Source organism: Homo sapiens, chromosome 11 (genome assembly GCF_000001405.40).
Source record: "Homo sapiens chromosome 11, GRCh38.p14 Primary Assembly".
NCBI classification, from domain to species: domain Eukaryota; kingdom Metazoa; phylum Chordata; class Mammalia; order Primates; family Hominidae; genus Homo; species Homo sapiens.
In genome coordinates, this window is record NC_000011.10 from 56,251,597 (window position 1) to 56,276,926 (window position 25,330).

At 35.8% G+C, this 25,330-nt stretch overlaps 2 protein-coding genes across 2 annotated transcripts; both read left to right on the forward strand.

Moving 5' to 3' along the window:
• Positions 1-657: 657 nt before the first annotated feature.
• On the forward strand, positions 658-1,626 carry OR5T3 (olfactory receptor family 5 subfamily T member 3). Its single transcript, NM_001004747.2, has one exon. The coding sequence runs from the start codon at positions 658-660 to the stop codon at positions 1,624-1,626; it is 969 nt and encodes a 322-aa protein (NP_001004747.2).
• Positions 1,627-22,557: 20,931 nt separating this feature from the next.
• OR5T1 (olfactory receptor family 5 subfamily T member 1) lies at positions 22,558-25,223 on the forward strand. Its single transcript, NM_001004745.2, has 3 exons — positions 22,558-22,576; positions 23,040-23,157; positions 23,890-25,223. Exon 3 carries the CDS (start codon positions 24,043-24,045, stop codon positions 25,021-25,023), a length of 981 nt encoding a protein of 326 aa, NP_001004745.1. The 5' UTR covers positions 22,558-22,576; positions 23,040-23,157; positions 23,890-24,042; the 3' UTR covers positions 25,024-25,223.
• The last annotated feature ends 107 nt before the right edge of the window (positions 25,224-25,330 follow it).

Genomic DNA, 25,330 nt, shown 5'->3' on the forward strand with positions numbered 1-25,330 from the left:
TATCTCCAGAATACAGTCTGCTCTTCTATGTAATGGAACAAGATAATTGCCAGAACAGAGGACATGAAATGGTTTTATTTAAAAAGGCTGCTGCATGCGACAAGTTGAAATGTATGTCTGACTTATCCCCATTTTCTAGTCATTTGGAAGCCTTTTAAATTAAATAGTTTTGATATTTTTAAACATTTAAATTCAACTGTGCTGTGAGTGTGGTTTCTCTTATTTTAAAATTGTGAACATTTACAAAAGACATTTCATGTACTTCATCACAAATCTAAAAGTGTACTCAAGTGTGTGCTTTCCACTATAACATATTTAGTTTTAAATATTTCTACATTCAGCAATCTTTGTGAGCTTTAGGACATAATATGAGAGGAAGCAGTAAAAATTTCAACTGAAAATTAACTGGAAAATAAAATCACTTTAATTAGCAGGGTTTTTTAAAAACATGATAAATTTAGCCAAGAAATTAATTACATATTTTTTTTCCTTTTACTTATACAGTGAAATTCATCTATTTGGCTCCAATTACTTCATCATTGTCTATTCCATTACTATCAGGGAAATTATTATGCCCCAAGAAAAAAACAAGGATACAATTGAATGGACTCCACTTTCACAGGCTATAACCTTTATAACCTGCAAGTAAAAACTGAAATGGACAAGTTGTCATCAGGTTTGGATATATACAGGAATCCACTGAAGAACAAGACTGAAGTCACCATGTTTATATTGACAGGCTTCACAGATGATTTTGAGCTGCAAGTCTTCCTATTTTTACTATTTTTTGCAATCTATCTCTTTACCTTGATAGGCAATTTAGGGCTGGTTGTGTTGGTCATTGAGGATTCCTGGCTCCACAACCCCATGTATTATTTTCTTAGTGTTTTATCATTCTTGGATGCTTGCTATTCTACAGTTGTCACTCCAAAAATGTTGGTCAATTTCCTGGCAAAAAATAAATCCATTTCATTTATCGGATGTGCAACACAGATGCTTCTTTTTGTTACTTTTGGAACTACAGAATGTTTTCTCTTGGCTGCAATGGCTTATGATCACTATGTAGCCATCTACAACCCTCTCCTGTATTCAGTGAGCATGTCACCCAGAGTCTATGTGCCACTCATCACTGCTTCCTACGTTGCTGGCATTTTACATGCTACTATACATATAGTGGCTACATTTAGCCTGTCCTTCTGTGGATCCAATGAAATTAGGCATGTCTTTTGTGATATGCCTCCTCTCCTTGCTATTTCTTGTTCTGACACTCACACAAACCAGCTTCTACTCTTCTACTTTGTGGGTTCTATTGAGATAGTCACTATCCTGATTGTCCTCATTTCCTGTGATTTCATTCTGTTGTCCATTCTGAAGATGCATTCTGCTAAGGGAAGGCAAAAGGCCTTCTCTACATGTGGCTCTCACCTAACTGGAGTGACAATTTATCATGGAACAATTCTCGTCAGTTATATGAGACCAAGTTCCAGCTATGCTTCAGACCATGACATCATAGTGTCAATATTTTACACAATTGTGATTCCCAAGTTGAATCCCATCATCTATAGTTTGAGGAACAAAGAAGTAAAAAAGGCAGTGAAGAAAATGTTGAAATTGGTTTACAAATGAAGAATATATTTAAAATTGAGTAAACCTGAAAAAAATGTTGAGTGTCAGAGTTCACATCTCTATATTTTAGTTAAAGTATTTGCATATCAAAGAATAGTTTCAAAAAAGCATTAAGCAGCCTGCCAATGCAGCATTTTTCAAATGTAAACAAATTGCATCACATATTTGCCAATTAATTTGTTCAGAGATCTATATTAAATATTATTTGATATAAATATATTGTTATTGTTACCAACCACACACTACTAACAACAGCTTTCACAGTAAGTAAAAATCAGTTACACACTTATAACTAGTAAGTGAATCCTACAGAATCCTGGGAATTGATAAATGCTTACATGGCTGATAAAAAGTTTTTGCATTCATTGTGGAGTTACTTCCTCAATCTATAAGCCCTAAGAAGAAATATCCAAATTTTACTTTACTTTCCCTAAATGTGCCTTCATAAACTGAGATCTACTCAAGCTTCCAAACATGCCTTTTGCTGTGTTTATATCTACATCATAAATTCTTTCCACAATTAAATGCTTTCCTTGCCCCTTTTCAACCACAGAAGCTGATTGTAGTCATTGTGAAACTATATTGGTTGTGAATGCTAATATTTATTGAGAGTGTTCTGAAGGCTCAGGAAACACTATACCCCAGGAATGAAACTATGACATATGTATAAATGACTGCTCTAAGGTCTGACAAACTAGCATATCCTTGCTCACTTCGTAGTCCTGCCATTATCTTCTATCTACTTTACCTGTAAGAAATGACTGCAATGTCATCCTTCCACAAAATTTACACCTAGTGAGCAAGCCCACAGAATGGAAATTATTTTGCTTTACCTCTACTCACATCTGGCTTTACTTTACGTATTCTGCTTTAGTAAGTTTTGTTAAAACATTTATTTGAAGATTCATTAAAAGTGGAAATTAATTGTTTTTTCAAAAAACACACACTTGTCCCTCCAAGGATATTTTTATGTGAATTAACCAGAATGATCCAATCATAACATAGTAGCCACACTGAAAATTTCAGACATCAGTTTCTAATCTTTACTAATCAATTATGCAAAGAGAACCCAACCCTCTTTTTTTGAATAAGCAAATGCTTGCAGTCAAAATCTGTACTAAATTTCCTCTTAAAAAAATAAATCTATTTTTAGATACAAAACCCTGATTACACTGTAGACAAAATTTTCTTAAAAAAATAAGCTATTTGAATTACAGAATCTTAAAATGTAGTTTCCTGTGTATGATCTTTTGGGGAGAATGTTCTGGAAGAAAATTTAATATGCTTCAAAAATGTGTCTAAATAAATAGCTGTCTCACAAAATTTAAAATTTCTGCAGAATTCCAGAATCATTTATTTTTTTGAGGGTTTTTCAAATTATGGTGTCAAAATTGTTAGGTAACGTTTTAGTCAAGGTTGCTATCTCTTTTTTTGTTTTGTTTCTCTTTCAAATTAGCAAAAATAGTCATTCTTTGAGAAAGGAATAGGCGAGCATTAGGTAAAATGATGCACTGACATATGCCTAAAAATATCTGGTTAACAATGCATTCAACAAACTCATTCAGAACTTGTCAAGTTAACCATCATGAAAAGTTCACTATCTCTCTTTTTATCCTAATCGATTAGAAAACAAATGGTGTGAATAAGCAGTCTCGAATGACCTGCTATTTGTTCAGGTCAAGGTGAGAAAAATGGTATATTTAACTCTCAAGTCAATAGAACATTTTGTTACATATCTCAGCTCAATTACCTTTCCCCCCAAAAGAATGATTTGACTCACTATGACCCCATGGAGCCTCTCTCACTTATCACAGTTGCCATTTAGCATGTGATGTTGTGATTTTATAATATATTATCCAGATCTACCATGATGCTGACATTGTAACTTGCATAAAAACATGCATTGGGCATATTTGTCCTCAAAATTGTATCCCTGAGTCCTAAAAGAGTACCTAGAACTTATGGTTTGCTGACAAAATATTTATTAAATAAATAGTGAGTACATGAATGAATTATATTTAATACTAATAATTAACATATGCTTATCAGGTACTGGACAATCATGTAAAAGTTTTTACTATATTAACTTATGTAATTCTCATAACTTCAGGAAGTGGTTGTAGTAATATCTTTTAACAAAGTTGAGGAAACAGCAGCACATAAATTTTAAGGAATTTGCTCAATGCCACATAGCTCTAAAGGGTGATGTCAGGATTCACATCTAAGCTGTCTGGTTACAGAGTTCCTGTTTTTAAGCTTGTTATACATGGAGTGAAAGAACAGATTTATCTTTTCACTTTACCAACTTTATTAGTTATCCTCCAGAGAGCATTATTGAGAATACTGAAGCTCCTCATTAAGTCTGTGGCAGAAATAAGAAGAAAAAGGAATGCATTTTAAAAGTACTGAAAATGTGGTTTCCACTGATTTGGCCATTCATTCCATTCATTGAGATGTAGAAGTTTCAAGAAATCAGTATGTCAAAGAGATATCCGTACTCTTATGTTTATGGCAGCATTATTTGCAGTAGCCAAGATATGGAATGAACCTAAATGCCCATCTACAAATGAATGCATAAAGAAAATGTCACACAAACACACACACACACACACACACACACAATGGAATACTACTGAGAAATAAAATAGAATGAAATCCTGCCATTAATGACAACATGGATGAATAAGTGAGTGAAATAAGCCAAGCACAGAAATACAAATACTGCACAATCTCACTTATATGTAGAATAATAATAATAATAATAATAATAAACAACTTGATTTTATAGAAGTAAAAAGTAAGTGAAAAGTGGTTATCAGAAGCTAAACAGGGTAGTGGAGACAAATTAAATGAGGTTGGTTGATTGATATAAAATAACAATTAAACAGGAAAAGTAAGTCCTGATGTTTTATTACACAGTAGGGTGACTGTGGCAGTAACAGTGTAGTATGTATTTTAAGATAGCTGGCAAAGAATATTTTAAATGTTATTCCACAAATAAATGATAAATGTTTAAAGTGATGGATATCCTAATTACCTTGATTTGACCATTTTACAATGTATACATGCATTGGAACATCACAGTGTACGCCATAAATAAATATATACCATTCTTTTCTGTCAATTATAAATTTTAAAATTAATTAAAAATAAAAGTTATTGGAAGTGAAATTTCATCTGGATTTGACAATTCATTTTATTTATTGAGACCTTTTGAATTTGCAAGTTTTGAGCCTATATGATAAAACAAGACAAATATAAAAAGTAAAAGTGAGAGAGAAAAAAAAGACAGAGAGAGACGAGACAGACAGAAAAAGGAGAAGGAAGGAAATAGGAAGGGGACACACTGGAGAGATGAATATTGTAGAAGTTGAGTGGTTAAGATCAGTTATATGTATACTGATTCTGAGGTTCCATTACATTTTTAATGCACAGAACTAAAACTCCAGAAGAATATTACAGTGGTGAGTGGAGAGTTATCCAGAAAAGAAACATTTGAAATCGCAGTATTGGGTGGGATTTTAAATGATATACAGAACCTCTACTTCCACACAGAATTTGGAAAGCAGCAAAGTAAATTCTTCTCATTCTAACAACTTAAAAAGCCAAGTAATCTTCAAAATTATAGCTTTTCATGAGTCTATCAGAGAACCAAGGTTCAAAACATCCAAGAAATCTGAATTCCAAAGAAGACCAAGTTACTTCAAATGTAGATGAGATGCCTGAGCATCTCTTTCTTTCACTGTGGGCACAGAGTATGAGATATATTTGTTCACCATACAGATAGGAAGAAATTACTGGCTATATACCCAAAAGATTATAAACCATTCTAGTATAAAGAGACATGCACACTTATGTTTATTGCAGCACTATTCACAATAGCAAAGACTTGGAACCAACCCAAATGCCCATCAATGATAGACTGGATAAAGAAAATGTAGCACATATACACCATGGAATACTATGCAGCCATAAAAAAAGGATGAGTTCATGTCCTTTGCAGGAACATGGATGAAGCCGGAAACCGTCATTCTCAGCAAATTAACACAGGAACAGAAAACCAAACACTGCATGTTCTCACTCGTAAGTGGGAGTTGAACAATGAGAACACATGGATACAGGGAGGGGAATATCACACACCAGGGCCTGTTGGGGGATGGGGTGCCAGGGGAGGGATAGCACTAGGAGAAATACCTAACGTAGATGATGGGTTGATGGGTGCAGCAAACCATCATGGCACGTGTATAACTATGTAATAAACCTCGTGTTCTGTGCATGTATCCCAGAAGTTAAAGTATAGTTTAAAAACAGAGGAAATCAGCTTAAAATTAAGTAATTTTAAAGGCCAAGTGAGAGTTATTGGGAAAAGCAGGAAGTCCTAGAATAAAGTTTGCATTCACTCCCAAGGTTTTCTCTGCAGGCCCCCAACAAGCATTTACAAAAAAAAAAAAAAAAAAAACAAATAAAATTAACGTCTTCAAATATCGTTATTCCTCGTTGTCTTTGAGTAAAGAGCATGAAAATTACTAGAATAAATGCTTTAGTGGAGAGGGTAAACACCATGCATGAATATGTGAGAAATATCAGAGATGGAAAATATATGGAAGTATTCAATAAAATTCTATAAATAAAAACTCATGCTCACAGTCACAATATCTGAGACAAAGAATTTCTTTCACAAGTTTATCAGTAGATTCAGTAACTTGAGAAAAGTATTAGTGAACTTAAAGATAAAGCAACATAAATTAACCAGAGAGAAAAGTTAAAGAAAAAATATGGAATTAAAAGTTATCAAAGAACTGTAGGGCAACATCAAACAGTCCAATATACATACAGTTAGTGTTTCAGAACAAGAATCAAGGGAGAATGGGTCAGAATAAACATTTGAAGACAAAATGGTCAAGAATTTTCTAAAAATAAGAGAACATAAAATCACAGGTACAAAATACTCAGGAGACCCAAGGAAGGATGTGTTAATCAGGGTTCTCCAGAGAAACAGAACCAACAGGATGTATGGGGGAGGAGGGGGATGAAGGATTCATTACAAGGAATTGGCTCATCTGATTTTGGGAGGCTGGCAATTTCAAATTCTACGGGGTGGGTCATTAGGCTGGAGATCCAGGATTATTGATAATCTACTCGGAACCCATGGGCAAAGTGCTGTAGAACCAGGAAGAGCTGGTGACGTAGACAAGATCTGAAGGCAGTCTGCTGGAGAATTAGCTCTTGCTCTGGAGAGGCTAGTTTTTTGCTCCATGCAAACCTTCATCTAATTGAGTAAGGCCAACCCACATTATGGAGGTCAATAGGCATTCCTCAAATGCCACCAATTTCAATGTTAATCTCTCCCAAAACATCCTTAGAGTAACAAACACATTAATGTCTGACCAAATGTAAGCACATCATAGCCCATTTAAGTTGACACATTAAAATTAATCAATATAAGTGTACCCCTTGTCAACCTGGCAGTCATATATATCCCCTTAAAACATACTTGATCTCCAAATGAAAACAAAAATAAGGTCAAACTTCTACCTAACATGATATTTCCATTCTTAATAAAATCAAAACTGTTCTCACCCTTTCCCCTAGAAGAGGATGAAAAGTCCTTAGATGATGTTTACTTTTTTTCCTTGATATTCCATACCTCAAGCACTATGCTGTAAAGTGGACTATATTTAAACAATGTGATGGAAAGCCAATGCACTCTATGCAGTAGTCCATTTTTTGCCTCTAAAACAGAATACCTGAGACTGGGTCATTTATAAAGGATAAAAATTTGTTTTCCCACATTTCTGGAGACTGAGAAGTCCAAGATTAAGGTGGCAGCATTTACTGTCTGGTGAGACCCTTCTTGCTGCATCCTCACATGGCAGAAGGTGGACAGGAAAGGGAGCAAGCTAGCCAACTGCTGAACGAAGCCTTTCATATAAGCCTTAATTTCATTAACAAAGAATGAGTTGTAAGGACAGCCTAATCACCTCTTAAAGGTCTCACTTCTTGATGCTACCAAATTGGCAACACCTGAATTTTGGAGGAGACACATTTAAAATATAATATTTTGCCCCAGGACTCCAAAATTTATGTCCTTCTCACATAAAAAATACATTTGTTCCATCTGAATAGCACCCCAAAATCCTAACTCATTCCAAAAGCAATTCAAAATTTAAAAATCTAGAGTTTTATTTAAATCTGCTCATGTATGGGAAGAGTCAATATTGTAAAACTGACCATACTGTCACAGGTTACTTGGGGTGTTGGTTTGCCAGCTTGAAACCTCTGTGGCCTTATGCCTGAGTATTGCTCACACCCGCTGGACTCATTTTATTAACTCTGCCTGGCAGTCCGCCCTTGGCCTGAGCTCCTGGCCCAGGACCCACATCTGCCAAGGGCAAGCCAGGTGCAGAGTGGCAAGGAGTATAGGAGCAAGTGGGAATAAGGTCCAGCCACTCCACACAGCCAGGCACACTGGCTGCTGCAGCTGAGCAGGCAGCTCCAGGTGCAAGCACAGGTCCTGGCTCTGTGCGAGGCTGTGGCTGGATCAGATGTATCACAAGCAGCTTCCACTGTGGGTACCTGCATCTGAACAGGGGGAGTGTGGTGGTGTCTGAAAGCTTGGAAATGTCAGAAACCATAGAGCCCCAAAGAGGACGTTATAGCCCTGGCCTGGGGAGACACTAGGTCTGGGCTCCCCAAAGGGCTGCAGCTCCTCCTCTAAATCATTGCCTGCAATGTGGTGGTTGGGGGGATGGGGGGTAGCAGGGGGCATGTTTCTGCCCTGTTTGTGTTACAGCTCTTTCAGTCCCATCATTTGGTGGTCCCAAGTTCTTGTCCCACATCCAGGAAGAATGAGGCACATTGACAACTGGAGGGTGAACAAGGCAGAGAAGAGCTTCATTGAGCAACAGAATAGCTCTAAGGAGACCTGCAGTGGGTAGCTTCTTTCCAAAGGCAGGTCATCCTGACAAGTGTCCAGCTCTCAGTGGAGACGAGACCCATAGTTGTTAGCTCCTTTCCATAGGCAAGTCGTCCTAGTGAGTCAAGGAGACCCAAAGTTGGTAGCTCCTTCCTGCAGCTGGTAGTTGGATTTCTGTCCAAGTCTGGCTGAGTCCAGGGTTTTCATGGGCTCAGAAAGAAGAAAGTGCATGCTGATTGGCCCATGGGTGGCCATGGAAGGACCCAGAAAAAGCAATATAAGTTCTCACTCCAGGCCATAGACTCCACCCAGAACTGGCAGCCCAGGCCCCTAGGCTTCAGGCCATCCCTGGCTTGAAGGTGGGTGGAGACATGCCTCTTTCTGCCCAGGAATTTGTCTGTCTCTCACCATCCAAGGCACCCAGGCTGTTTGTGCCAAGGAGTTCCTGCAGGCCAATGGCAACCCACCCTCAGCACCCCCCACAGCCTCCCTCCCATGCTCATTGGTGCCCAAAGTCCACAGGATGCCAAGGCAGCAGGGGGCTGGTGTGCTAGTTTGCACACACCTACCTGGGTTGCAATAGTGCCCAGGCTTGACCACAACGTTGCTATTCCTTGGAGTGGGAGCCAGGAGTTAGGAGAGGTGGGTAGCAAGAGCAGGCACTTTAAAGCCTGTAGGGGCAGGGGGTCTCCTGGGCACCCAAGCACAGGAATGCCCAGGTCTGGAGCCACAGCTGGGTGGCTGCAGCTGTGCCTGGGAATACAGGGTTCCCACCCTGCCAACTTGTTACGGGGCAGGGCTCCTGCCTGTTCCTGGCCCACTCTGGCTCTGTGGAGCACAAAGCCCCAGCTGCCTCCCCTGCTGCAGCCGTTGTCTTTGCAGCGGCTACTCCATATGGACTGCCGTTGCCATCAATACTGCCCAAAGCAATATACAGATTCAATGCAATTTCTGTCAAAATGTCAACTTTTTCACAGAATTAGGAAAAACAATCCCAAAATTCATATGGAACCTAAAAACAACCCAGCTAGCCAAAGCAATCCTGAGCAGAAAGAACTAATCTGAAGGCAACACATTACTGAACTTAATATTATACTATAAGGCTATAATAACAAAAACAGTGTGTACTGGTACATACAAAAAAAGTATGTATCCATTCTTATGAATGGATATGTAGACAGATGGAACACAGAGAACCCAGAAATAAAGGCAAATACTTACAACCAAGGCTATAGTAACAAAAAAAGCATGTACTGGTATAAGAATAGATACATAGACAGATGGAACACAGAGAACCCAGAAATAAAGGCAAATATTTACAAGCAAAACTATAGTTAACAAAAAAAGCATGTACTGGTATAAAAATAGATACATAGACATATGGAACACAGAAACCCCAGAAATAAAGGCAAGTACTTAAAACCAACTGATCTTTAAGAACGCATACAAAAATGTAAACTGAGCACAAGACACCCTATTTAATAAATGGTGCTGGGAAAACTGGATATCCACATGTAAAAGAATGAAACTGGATTCCTATATCTCACCATATACAAAAATCAACCTAAGATGGATTAAAGATTTAAATCTAAGACCTGAAACCATAAAACTTTTAGAAGAAAACCTAGAAAAATCTCTTTCGGGCATTGGCCTAGGCAAATAATTTATGATTGGGATCCCAAAATCAAATGCAACAAAAACAAAAATAAATAAATGGGACCTAATTAAGCTGAAACGCTTCTGCACAGCAAAAGAAATAATCAACAGAGTAAACAGACAACCCACAGAATGGGAGAAAATATTTGCAAACTATGCATCCAACAAAGGACTAATATCCAAAATCTACAAGGGATACAAATCAGTAAGAATAAAAACAAATAATACTACCAAAAAGTAGGCAAATGACATGAATAGACATTTCTCAAAAGAAGATATGCAAATGGCCAACAAACATATGAAAAACTGCTTAACATCAATAATTATCTGCTAAATGCAAATCGAAACCCCCATGAGAGATCACCTTACCCCAGCCAGAATGGCCATTATTAAAAAGTCAAAAAACAATAGGTGTTGGTGTGGATGTGGTGAAAGGGAATGCTTATACACCACTGGTGAGAATGTAAATTAGTTCTATGTCTATGGAAATCAGTATGGAGATTACTCAAAGAACCAAAGTTTATTTTGGTGAGCAATGTATCTTTTGGACTTTTCCAGTTTGGGTTGGTAGATGTTAACAGGCAAATTCACTTCAACTTTTCAATATCTTTAACCCTTTAAATCCATGTTTCTACAGAAAAATAAAAGCAGGGACTTCACATTTAACTCACTGTGGGCTACCTTTTGGTCCATGTTTTAGCCAAACAAAAAATGTGTTAGAGTCTTTTCTCACTCTTTGAGCTGCAACATTAAATGCACTATCTCTGCTTACTGGATTTGTATCAAAAAATTTGGTCTCATCCAGTATTATATTCCTTTCATCATTATCTTACATCCTTAATATCCATTTCCAAACATATTCTCTGAATTTCAGCCTGTATATGTTAGGAAACTCAAATACTTCTTTTAGAGTATAGCACACCTCTACATAGTTTACACTTTGTCCCTCACCTATAGGACCCTGTTGGCATGATCATTGCTCTCTGCAGCCTCAACCTCCCAGGCTCAAGTGATCCTCCCATCTCAGACCTCTTAAGTAGGTGGGAACATAGGCATTTGCCACCACGCTATTTTTATTTCTTTGTATATATATATGGGTTCTCACTATATTGCATAGGTTAGTCTTGAACTCCTGGACTCAAGTGATCCTCCCACCTTGGCCTCCCAAAGTGATGAGATTACGGGTGTGAGCCACCACATCCAGCCTCATTAGTGTCTTTAAAACTAATCATATTAGACAGCCAATTCCAGAAATACCAGAGCTACTAATTGTAAAGGTTAGCAAGTCCAACATTTGTAGGGTGAGTTGGCAGGCAGGAGACCCAGAAGGGCTACTGTTTCAGTCTGAGTCCATAAGCAGTCTTCCATAGAACCAGGAAGAGTCAATGTGGTTGATGATGTCTGAGACAGTCTTTTGAAGAATACTCTTTTCTTCGTGAGAGGGTGGTCATTTTATGCCAATCGACCAATTAGATGAAGCTCACCGAAATGATGGAGGGCAATCTGCTTTATTCCAATTCCACAGATTGGAGCCATGTATGATGTTAGGCCTTCTCTACAAAGGTTTTTCCTCTTTAAAATATAAATGTATTTGAATAACCACGCAGCACAATGATGTGCAGACAGGCAGACTAAACAATTGTTCAAAACATAAATATATGAAGGAACTTCCTTTAATATATCAATTTGTTATATTTAATATTACAACATTATTGAATTTTTGTCATCATATATATACATTTTAAATACTGGTAAAAATTAGGTCGCAAAATTAATATTATAACTAAATCATTGAAAAATATGTGACAAGAGCCTTGAACCAGATCCTTTATTTTTTGTTATATTTAATAAATTTGTTTTTTAAATTATTAATACATACTCAAATATTCTATCAGGATTAAATTTAAATATTCTAAATTTAGTATCTTGATTGTGATTTTCTTCTGTCTACTCTTTATGACTTTGAAGTATTTTTTAGTCAAGTAAAAGATGTTTCAGAAATTATGTGATCTGTTAATACCCAAAATTACCACAATTATATTACCACAATACTATTTGTTACATCATAGTGGGCTTAATATTACTTTAAATAAATGATATAGAGAAAAGCTATGATGTTAAGCACTTCAGCTAAATTTGTCTTTAAACCAGCATTTTTACTAGATGCCAAAAGATGAGTTTTCCTGGTTTAGCCTAAGTCAATATTAGCATATATAGAAAAGATTGAGAGTTATAAAGAGTAAATGACTATGATTCTGGAAGAAATTAATAATATACGATCAGCTTTGAAAATTAATATAAAGCCACATCTATAAATACAAATTTAGTAGAAGACATAACTCTCCAAATATCTTGAGTTTGACATTGAAACACTAAATTTGCAAAGGAGGAGAGAAATAATAGCCATTTATTGAGCACTTGCTATAGAAATAGACTTTTGTGCACATTGTTTTATTGCAACTTTGTAGTAAATCTCACAGCTATCAAGTGCCAGAGGCAAGATTAAACTTCCTGTCACCCAAATAATGCATGGACTTTTCAATGATTTACTGCCTTCTATTAGACCTTGTCTACATTCTGAAAGTTACATTCCAACCCCACCCACTATCCCCAGTGAAATAAAACAAAACATGATTCTCGAGGTATTTGGATTTTTTTAACCATTGAAGCTAGAGAAACAATAGAAGTAAGTAGCAGTCCTAAGTGACTTCTAGATACCATGGCTAGCAAAAATAAACTTAAAATAATTTTTTATTGTTTTTCTTGTTATATCAAAATATAAATGCTCATTAGTTGAATAAGATAAATATGTTCTTGCCCTTTATTGGTAAATTCCTGATTGTTCATACTTCAAACTGATCTGTTTTCAACTGGTTTTCAATTATTGGCCAGAACTTTGCACAAATCAGGTGTGTATGAATACAAATTATTCACCTATACAATGGTCAAGAATTAATGTGTTTTCTACAGTCTTTTTAGTAGCTAAAGTGTTTAGTACAAAATAACATATTTGATCTTGTTTTCTTAGGTTCTAGCTACTAAAATAATCTCCAAATGATCTGAAAATTTCTCCTACCTGTGGAACAGCAAATGTAGGTTTGATTTCCTAATGAATATGGTTCATATAGATTGTTTATATCCACTTACTTGAATGTTGATGAAACTCACAGGAGATATGCCCAAGAGAATATGCTTTCATTATCTTCCAGTTTAAGAACAGCAATATGATTTATTCAATAGTGAAAAAGTAAATGGCTTAGAAAAAGGTACCGTATGTTGACATTTATTGAATGGTTTTTTGTCCTCTGGTTAAAATGATGGCATTTAAAAATGTTTTAAAGTGTTTTAATATTAAATAAAAACCTTAAGATATGAGACATATATAATTTAATTTATTTGTTTATTTTTGAGACAAGGTCTTGCTCTGTGGCCCAGGCTATAGTGCAATGCTGTGATCTCAGCTCATTGCAACCTCCACATCCCAGGCTCACCTCCACCTCAGCCTCCTGAGTAGCTGGGACTATAGTTGTGCACCACCATGTCTGTCAAGTTTTTCTAATTTCAGTAGAGATGGGGTTTCTCTATGTTGTCCAGGCTGGTCTCCAACTTCTAGGCTCAAGCTGTTGGCCTGTTTTGGTTCCCAAAGTTCTGGGATTACAGTCATGAGCATCTGTGCCTGGCCATGACACACAATTTTATAACATAACTTTGACACTGGCTTAAAACTTAACTTCTCTGAGGCCTAGTGTCCTCATGCTGGCAATATAAGCCATTTTATATTGCAATGAGTCAGTAAATATAGTGAACTATAATAACATTGAATCACCATATGTCTTCCACACAATCTAGCAGATAGATTTACAGTCATTCAAATGCATTACACTTTCATTCTGTTAAAATTATAAACTGCTATGTTTGCAGTGAATAAAGTATAATACTTGAAATCATTGGAGTATTAATAGCAAATTAATAAGAAAGCTACAAAAATGCCATAGACTTAAAGAAGGCAAAAAATTTACATCTCTGTAAAACATCATAAGTCATCTCATGTTCCAATATTGGGTGCACAGATATTTAGAATTGATATATACTCTTGTTGAATTGATCCTTTTATTTTTATATTATGACTCTTTTTGTCTGTCTTTTTACTCTTTTTTTATTATTTATTTAAAGTCAGTTTTATCTGAGATACAGTGTAGTTTTTCTGCTCACTTTCGGTTTCTATTTGCATGGAATATCCTTTTCGACTACTCCTTTACTTTTAGTCTATATGTGTTTTTATCACCAAGGATACAGTTTGATCATTCTTTAAATTCATTCCACAAATGTATATCTTTTAACAGGAACATTAATCCATTTACAGTCAAGGTTAATACTGATATGTGAGGTTTTATTCCTGTCACATTGTACATTTTTAGCTAGTTGTTTTACACATTCTTATTTTTTTTCTTTTTTTTTTTGTAGTTTAGTGTAGTTCTGTTGTATTGCTATTTAATTCCAGTCTCTTCCTTCTTTGTGTAATTGTCTTATACAATGGCTGAATTTTATAATCCCATGTGATATTTTGGTAGTGAATATCAGCCTTTTGTTTTTATGTTTAGGACTTTTTCTAGTATTTCTTATGAGGCTGATCAAGTAGTGATGCATTCCATCACCGTTTGCTTGTCTGGAAAAGACTTTATTTATCCTTCATTTATAGAGCTTATTGTAGCTGGATATAAAATTCACAGCTCTTTTTTTTTTTTTCCTCTCCTTTAGCACTTTCAAAATAGCCTCTCATTCTCTTCTGGCTTGCAAGACTATTGCTGAAAAGTTTGTTTTTTGTCTGATGGGGCTTCCTTTTCAGCAGACTAGACACTTTTCTCTTGCTGACATTGGAATTTTTTGTTCACATTGAATTTAGACAGTCTGATGACTATACAGCATGGCAAAGTCCGATTTGCAATGTATTTTTCTAATGATGACTGAGACTCTTGTATCTGAATGTATAAATCCCTTGTTAGCATTCTTCTTATCAGCACATAGAGCAATGGAACAGAATAGAGAACCAAGAAATAAGACCACATACCTACTACCATCTGAACTTTGACAAACCTGACAAAAAAAAGCAATGGGGAAAGGATTCCATATTCAATACATGGTGCTGGGAGAACTGGCTAGCCATATGCAGAAGATTGAAACTGGACTTCTTCCTTACACCATATACAAAAATCAACTCAAGATGGATTAAAGACTTAGATGTAAAACACAGAAGAAAGCCTAGCAATACCATTTTGGACATAGGCATGGGCAAAGATTTCATGATGAAGATGCCAAAAGCAATTGCAACAAATGCAAAAATTGACAAATGGGATGTAATTAAACTAAAGAGCTTCTTCACAGCAAAAGAAACTATCAACAGAGTAAACAGCAACCTACAGAATGGGAGAAAAATTTTGCAATCTATTCTCTGACAATGGTCTAATATCCAGAATGTACAAATAACTTAAGCAATTTCACAAGAAAAAAACAAACAACTCCATTAAAAAGTGGGCAAAGGGGCTAGGTGCAGTGGCTCATGCCTGTAATCCCAACAGTTTGGGAGGCTGAGGTGGGTGGATTGCCTGAGCTCAGGAGTTTGAGACCAGCCTGGCCAATATGGTGAAACCCCGTCTCTACTAAAATACAAAAAACTAGCCGGCATGGCAGCGTGCACCTGTAATCCCAGCTACTTCAGAAGCTGAGACAGGAGAATAGCTGGAACCCAGGAAGTGGAGGTTGCAATGAGCTGAGATCCCACCACTGCACTCCAGCCTGGGTGACAGAGAGAGACTCTGAAAAAAGGAAAGAAAGAAAAAGTAAGAAAGAAAGAAAGAAAGAAAGAAAGAAAGAAAGAAAGAAAGAAAGAAAGAAAGAAAGAAAGAAAGAGAAGAAAGAAAGAAAGAAAGAAAGAGAGAGAGAGAGAGAGAAAGAAGAAAGAAAGAAAGAAAGAAAGAAAGAAAGAAAGAAAGAAAGAAAGAGAGAAAGAAAGAAAGAAAGGGAGAGAGAGAGAGAGAGAGGGAGAGAGGGAGGGAGGGAGGGAGGGAGGGAAGGAGGGGAAGGAAATATGGTACACAAACGTGACAGAGCAAGACTCTGAATAAAAAGAGAGAAAGAAGAACAAAAGAAAGAAAGAAAGAAAGAAAGAAAGAAAGAAAGAAAGAAAGAAAGAAAGAAAAAGAATGAAAGAAAGAAAGAAAGAAAGAAAGAGAAGAAAGAAAGAAAGAAAGAGAGAGAGAGAGAAAGAAGAAAGAAAGAAAGAAAGAAAGAAAGAGAGAAAGAAAGAAAGGGAGAGAGAGAGAGAGAGAGGGAGAGAGGGAGGGAGGGAGGGAGGGAGGGAAGGAGGGGAAGGAAATATGGTACACAAACGTGACAGAGCAAGACTCTGAATAAAAAGAGAGAAAGAAGAACAAAAGAAAGAAAGAAAGAAAGAAAGAGAGAAAGAAAGAAAGAAAGGGAGAGAGAGAGAGAGAGAGGGAGAGAGGGAGGGAGGGAGGGAGGGAGGGAAGGAGGGGAAGGAAATATGGTACACAAACGTGACAGAGCAAGACTCTGAATAAAAAGAGAGAAAGAAGAACAAAAGAAAGAAAGAAAGAAAGAAAGAAAGAAAGAAAGAAAGAAAGAAAGAAAGAAAAAGAAAGAAAGAAAGAAAGAAAGAAAGAAAGAAAGAAAGAAAGAAAGAAAGAAAGAAAATGTGGTACATATACGCAAGAAATGTGGAATACTATGCAACCATAAAAAAGAACAAGATCATGTTCTTTGCAGGGGCATGGCTGGAGCTGAAGGCCATTGTGCTTAGCAAACTAATGCAGGAACAAAAGTCCAAATACACATGTTCTCACTTAGAAGTGGGAGCTGAACAATGAGAACACATAGACACATGGTGGGGAGAGTAACACACACTGAGGCCTGTTGGAGCATGAGGGGCAGGGTGGAAGGAGAAAGAGGTTCAGGAAGAATACCTAGTGGATGCTGTGCTTAATACCTGGGTGATGGGATGATCCGTGCAGCAAACCACCATGACACAGGTTTACCTATGTAACAAACCTGCACATCCTGAACATGTACCCCTGAACTTAAAATTAAAGTTGACAATTTAAAAAAAAGAATTAATATCTTAAAATGAATATACCACCTAAAGCAATCTATAGATTTAATGCAATTTCTATCAAAAGACCAACGTGATTTTTCATAAAATTGGAACAAATAATCCTAATATGCATATGGAACAACAAAAAAAGAGTGAATAGCCAAATCAATCCCAAGTGAAAAATAAGGCTCAAGGCTTCACATTACCAGGCCTTAAGTTACACTATAAGGCTGTAATAATCAGAACAGTATGGTAGGATATAAGGCAGACACAGATCAATGGAAAAGAATAGACAACTCATAAATAAAGCCATATATATACATCCAACAGATTTTTAACAAATTTAACAAAAACACACACTGGACAAAGAATCCTATTTGCAATAAATGGTGTAGGAAAATTGGATTACCATTTACATATACAAAAATCAACCCGAGTTGGATGGAGGACTTAAATATATGACTTGAAAATAGAAAAATACAAGAAGAAAAACTAGGAAAAAATCTTCTGGACATTGGTCTATGCAATATTTCATGACTAATACCACCAAAACACAGTCAACGTAAACAAAAATAAACTCATGAGATGTAATTAAACTATAAAGCTCCCATACAGCAAAATAAATCATCAACAGGGCACAGAGAATCCACATAATGAGAGAAAATATTTGCAAATTATGCATCTGATGGGAGACTAATATCTACAATTTAGAAAGAATTCAAGCAATTCAACGAAGAAAAATAACCTTATTTAAAAGTGACCAAAAGATATCAATAAACATTTTACAAATGAAGACATGCAATGAACATGGCCAATAAGCATATGAAAAAATGCTCAACATCACTTATTAGAGAAATGAAAATTAAAACCTTAATTAGATATCGTCTCACACCAGTTAGAATGACCAATCTTAAAATGTCAAAAAAAAAAAAAAAACAGATGTTGGCAAAGAAAAGGGGATGCTTATGCACTGCTGTTGGGAATGTAAGCTAGTACTACCTATATGGAAGACAGTATGGAGATTTCTCAAATAACTGAAAATGGAACGACTATTTGATCTAGCAATCCCACTACTGGGTATCTGCCAAAAGATAAATCAGTATCTTACTTTGGGTAGATACCCAGTAGTTGAATTGCTGGATCAAATGGTGGTTCTATGATACTTGCACTTTTATGTTTATCACCACACTATTCACAGTAAGAAAAATACAGAATCACTCTAAGTGTTCAACCATGGATGACTAGATGCAGAAAATATGTTATATATAAGCAGTTGAATACTATTCACCAACAAAAGAATGAAAGCATGTCTTTTGCAGCAACATGGATGAAACTGGAGGCCATTATCTTAAATGAAACAATTTTAAAAAAGAAAGTCAAATATGATATGTTCTCACTTATAAGCAGGAGCTAAATAATGTATACATATGACATAGAGTGTGGAATGAATTACAGTGGAAAGTTGGAAGGGTGAGAGAGTCAGAGGTATGTGGAGTATAAGAAATTACTTAATGGGTACAATGCACATTATTCAGGAGATGGATACACTAAAAGTCAAGATATTCAATATATTCAATATATCCATACAACAAAATTGCACCTCTACTCAATGCATTCAGAAAGAAAGAAAGAAAGAGAGAGAGAAAGGGAAAAAAAGAGAAAGAGAGGAAAGAAGGAAGGAAGGAAGGAAGGAAGGAAAAGGTAGAAAGAGAAAAAAGGAAGGAGAGAAAGAAGCTGATGCAAGGCAGGCATAAACTTTCACTAATAAACTCAGAATCTCCATCAACATATTTAAAAAATCAATAAACAAGCAAACATGAAATGAGTGAAAGTGAAAAATACATAAATGGATAATTTTTATTTGTTTTTTCAAAATTATATCAAAGACTACCACCACAAAACCTGAAAATAAAAAGAATATTGAGTCAAAGCACCCTGTTGCAACAGAATCTTGTTAAATCAGCAACTTTTTTTTTTTTTTTTACCAGACACAGAATTAACTGGGAAAAGGAAGGATTAACAGTACCTATAACACATGGAATTCGTGAATTTTCAAACTCCACCAGTAAAAAGAAAAGACAATTTATTGAGTGAAAATTCCAGCAAAGTCAAGCTGGAAGAGTAGATAAGCTTTTATATGTTCCAAGTTTCAGGTGAATTACCACCCCAACCCCTGTGCAGTCTCAATACAGGTGTCGCCAAAGGATCGTGAATGATTGAAACTGTGCTCAAGGTAATTAAGGATGTCACAAATGTGCAGCATATACACCCTTTCAGTAGGACAAGTAAAGACTTGTCCTTGTTTCCCTAAGGAAAACAAAACGCTGAAAAAAAAAAAAGCTAACTGAGTCAAGTAGAATCATTGGGAAGAAAAGCTTCACTAAGAAAGGAGAATTCTGGGAGATGTAGTTCTCAGAACACTTAGGGCAACATAAAATGTCTAAGGTGTGGAGAACCACTTTGAAAGGCAAGAACTGACTGTCTATAGGACTCAAGGAAGAGCAGGGAGAATTTGCTCATAAATTAGGCTTAGGTCTGAGAGCTAAAGTAGCTTTACAGTAATATTTTAAGGCCACAATGAAAGCTAGAGAGTGATTCCTTCAGCATGAACCTGGAAAAGTTACTTTGATATATCACCAACTTCCTATGTACCTTCTTCTGAGAGTCAAGATGCCCAGCACATTTAAACATGGATGGAGCAAGAAGATGGCAATTGAACTCCATATGATGAGAGTTAAAGTATACAAGGATGAAAATAACAAAATAATGTTTTAGAAGGTTGCCAGCAGCCCGTTACCATTGTCAGCAGCCTCAGCTACCTTATTCTGTCCTCTAGTCATTATCTATTCTGAAGCAATGATAAATTTATGTAATAGCTAGTTTTCTAAAGTTTTAATATAAACAGAAAAATTTACCATTTATAAGTGTCAGTTATATGAATTTTGATAAACACAAGTAGGTAAGCAAATCAAGTTATAGTATATTTTCATTACCCTATAAAGTCCTCTCATCACTTTGTAGCCAATTACTTTCCTTTACTCCCAAGTTCTGGCAACCACAGATGTGCTTTCTGTTGTGATTTTGCCTGGTCCAGGATATTATATCAATGGAATCACAATGTATGTAACTTTTTGAGTTTGGCTTTTTCAACTTAGCAAGAAGTATTTGAGATTCATTCCTGTACTAGATAATTATATTTTATACCTACTTATCACTGAGTAGTATTCCATATTATGGATGTACTACAATTGTTTTATTCATTCACTAGGTGTTGGAAATGTGTTTATTTTTCTGAGTAATGTGCCTTTGAATTTCATCCATGTCTTTTTATGACTTGATAGTTCATTTCTTTTTAGAGCTGAATAATATTTCATTATCTGGATAAACCACAGTTTATTAATACATTTATTTACTGAAGAGCATTTTAGTTGCTTGTAAGTTTTGGCAATTATAAATAAAGCTTCTGTAAACATCCATGTGCAAAACTTTGTGTGGATATTGTTTCCTTTGGGTAAGCACCAAGGAGCATGATTACTGGATTATAAGTAAATTTAGCTTTGTAAGAAGCTTCCAAACTGTCTTGCAAAGTAGTTGGACCATTTTGCATTCCCACCAGTAATGAATGAGAATTCCTGTTTTCCTGTTGCTGCACATCACCGCCAGCTTTTGCTGTTTTCTGTGTTCTGGGATTTTGGTCACTCTAGTTATGAAGAGATATATCATTGTTTTTTTTGCATTTCCTTGATGACCTATGATGTGGAGCATCAATTTCATATGGTTACATGCCATATGTATATCTTTTATGGGGTATCTTTGACTCATTTTTAAAATCATTTTTTTTTTTTTTTGAGACGGAATCTTGCTCTGTCGCCCACGCTGGCGTGCGGAGGCACAATCTCAGCTCACTACAACCTCTGCCTTTCAGGCTGGAAGCTGGAACTACAGGCGAGCCACTGCACCCGGCCTTTTTGACCATTTTAGGTGGTTTTTAAGGTCTTTGACTCATTTTTAAATCAGGTTGTTTGTGTTCCTATTGAGTTTTAAACAGTTCTTTGTAAATTTTAGATAACAGTCTTTTATCAGATGTGTCCTTGCAAGTATTTTCTCCTAGTCTGTTGTCATTTCATTCTTTTGATCATCCATGTATTTTTCATCACATTTTGGATAATTTCTTATGTGCATATCAAAGAACAAGTATATAGATTAGTATATCAATTCTTGAAGATAGAAAAGATCTCGCAGAACTTAAAAAATTGACCTTTAACTCTGCCATATATCTGAGTCTAATGTTCTAGTTCACAGAAAATTATTACATAGAACATCTGCATATTGCCCTAACTCTTCTGTTAATATTCTCTATTCATAGATTTACCTTATAATTATGTGCATTAATATCTCCTCTATTAATTTTTTTTTTTGAGATGGAATCTCACTCTTTCACCCAGGCTAGAGTGTGCAGTGGCATGGTCTCGGCTCACTGCCAACCTCTACCACCTGGGTTCAAGCAATTCTCATGCCTCAGCCTCCCCAGTAGCTGGGATTACAGGCGTCCACCACCAAGCCCGGCTAATTTTTTGTATTTTTAGTAGAGATGGGGTTTTTCCATGTTGGCCAGGCTGTTCTCGAACTCCTGACCTCAGGTGATCTGCCTGTCTCGGCCTCCCAAAGTGCTGGGATTACAGGCATGAGCCACCGCACCTGGCCTATTAAATTTTCAATGAAGTTAAATCTCTCTCATACCATTTAGAATTAGAGGACTGTCAAATTTAAATAAATATAGTAACCTTTATTAAATGATTATATGTCTTGTCATAGGTTATGTTTTCATATTATTTCATTATGTATGTGACAATAGGACTTCCAGATAATTCATAGGTTATAATTTCAAGAAGAAACTGAATTTTAGAGAATTTAAGTTATTAATTTGATAGCATGTAGATAATTAGAATCAGAGCTAGCACTATGGCCTGTATTATTAGCTTTCTTTTTCAGTAATATGCATATTTTTTTCCACTGGGGGATTATTTTGGACCTAGGTAGAAAGTACACTTATGTGATCATTGGAATCATGTAATGCATGTTCCAGATCAGTTACTTGTTCACTACAGAAAAAAAAAAAAATCATAATTTGTTTTATCCCAGAAGAGAATTAGTGTGTTTTCTTCTTTGGGCATCCCTGTGGAATTCTAGAGCTCAAGGGCCTGGTATAAGAATTCAAATGCACAATATTCATAGCATACCTGAATTGAGTGAGCAGTTCATTTCCAAAGGTAAGAGAAAAGGAATCTGATCACTTGTAAAATATTAAGAAGCTCTCACCTTGAATTTAAGACTAAAACATATTTCTTACTATTTAAATATAAGAAAGAGGGTTCTGTTTAATGTGAAGCTGTATTACAAATTGAATCACATACTTTCCAAGGATCATAGGAGAGAATACGTGTGTTGTTTTAGCAACAGTTTATAAAAATAATTGTATTACTTGTTATTGGATGGTATTTATTTTATAGAAATTTCAGAAGTTACGTAAGAATCATAGTAAAAGGATAGCCATAATTCATTTTTGATATAAATATGTCACAAAAATACACCCAAGGACTTCACAGGCATAATGACCAAATGATCATATAAATTGACACGTCTGATATTGGTTTTAAGTTAAAATCTGAAAAATAATAATGCTTAAAAAAACTGCACAGGCCAAAATGAACAAATTGGTGATATTTTTTTCAGGAAAGAAAAGTGAAACACAAAAGGAAAAATAAATGAAAAATGAACACCAAATTCTTTTGGTTTGCAAACAAGGTGCATCTATCTCCAGAATCAAATCTCTTGTATCCACCACCATTCTGTAAGTACTAATGCAACAGCAGGATAATTGCCAAAAAAAAAAAAAGGATTTGAAATGGTTTGGTCAGAAAGACTGTCTCAAATGATAAATTTTAATATAAGCCTGACATTGCATTTTCTAGTTATCTGGGCATATTTAAATATTAAATAACTTACATACTGTTTTTCCCATTTAAATACAACCCACTCTTATAATGTAGATATGATTGTTTCCATATTTAAAATGAGAAAAATAAAGTAATTCAATGGACTTTTTAGAAAACCTAGGAATAGCACTCAGTCTTTATGAGTTTTGAAACAATTTAATATTAAGAATAGATGGTAGTACATTTGATGGAAAATGAACAGGAAATTAAACTGATTAAATAGACTTTTTTTACACTTTAAGTTCTGGGGTACATGTGCAGAATGTGCAGTTTTGTTACATAGGTATACACGTGCCACGGTGGTTTGCTGCACGCATCAACCCGACACCTACCTTAGGTATTTCTCGTAACGTTATCCCTCCCCTAGCCTCCCACCCTCCGACCGGCCCTGGCGTGTGATGTTCCCCTTCCTATGTCCATGTGTTCTCATTGTTCAACTCCCACTTACGTGTGAGAACATGCGGTGTTTGGTTTTCGGTTCTTGAGATAGTTTGCTGAGAATGATGGCTTCCAGCTTCATCCATGTTAAAAAGATAAATTTAGTGCATGATTGAATAAAATAATTTATTTAATTTATTTAATTACAGTAATGTATCCACTTGGACCCAATTTTATCACCACCTGTGCATTTGCTGACAAGGATTTCATCTTGCTTTTCCAAGAAACGAACATGAGGATATAATTGGATAAACTTAATTTTCACAGGCTGTTGCATTTAGTACATATAAACAATAGCTAAAATGTCAGGGTTGCCTTCAGATATGGATCTATACAAGCTTCAATTAAACAATTTTACTGAAGTCACCATGTTTATATTAATAAGCTTCACAGAAGAATTTGATGTGCAAGTCTTCCTATTTTTATTATTTTTAGCAATCTATCTATTCACTCTAATAGGCAATTTAGGGCTGGTTGTACCGATCATTGGGGATTTCTGGCTTCACAGCCCAATGTACTATTTTCTTGGTGTTTTATCATTCTTGGATGTCTGCTATTCTACAGTTGTCACTCCAAAAATGTTGGTCAATTTCCTGGCAAAAAATAAATCTATTTCATTTCTTGGATGTGCAACACAGATGTTTCTTGCTTGTACTTTTGGAACCACAGAATGCTTTCTCTTGGCTGCAATGGCTTATGATCGCTATGTAGCCATCTACAACCCTCTCCTGTATTCAGTGAGCATGTCACCCAGAGTCTATGTGCCACTCATCACTGCTTCCTATGTTGCTAGCATTTTACATGCTACTATACATACAGTGGCTACATTTAGCCTGTCCTTCTGTGGATCCAATGAAATTAGGCATGTCTTTTGTAATATGCCTCCTCTGCTTGCTATTTCTTGTTCTGACACTCACGTAATCCAGCTTCTATTCTTCTACTTTGTGGGCTCTATTGAGATAGTCACTATCCTGATTGTCCTGATCTCCTATGGTTTTATTCTGTTGGCCATTCTGAAGATGCAGTCTGCTGAAGGGAGGAGAAAAGTCTTCTCTACATGTGGAGCTCACCTAACTGGAGTGACAATTTATCATGGGACAATCCTCTTCATGTATGTGAGACCAAGTTCCAGCTACACTTCGGACAATGACATGATAGTGTCAATATTTTATACCATTGTGATTCCCATGCTGAATCCCATCATCTACAGTTTGCGGAACAAAGATGTAAAGGAGGCAATCAAAAGATTGCTTGTGAGAAATTGGTTCATAAATAAGTTATAGTTTTAAAATTGAGTAAAGTTGCAAATAATATTGGGTGTCAGTCCACATCTCTATGGTCAGAAAGTAGAGAAGAAAATGTGTTTCTTTTAGTTAACAGTGCTTGTAACTTCTAGAATATTTTCAAATAAAGCATCAATCAGCCTACTAATTCACCATTTTAGAAATATCAATATATTGTATCATGTATAAAATATGGCTTGTATTCATAGCCTATGACAATGTTTAAACTAATCTGCATTAAATATTCATTGATGTGCAAACATTGCTGTTTTTAGTTTTTGTATAACTTGATTTTCACTGGCTATGT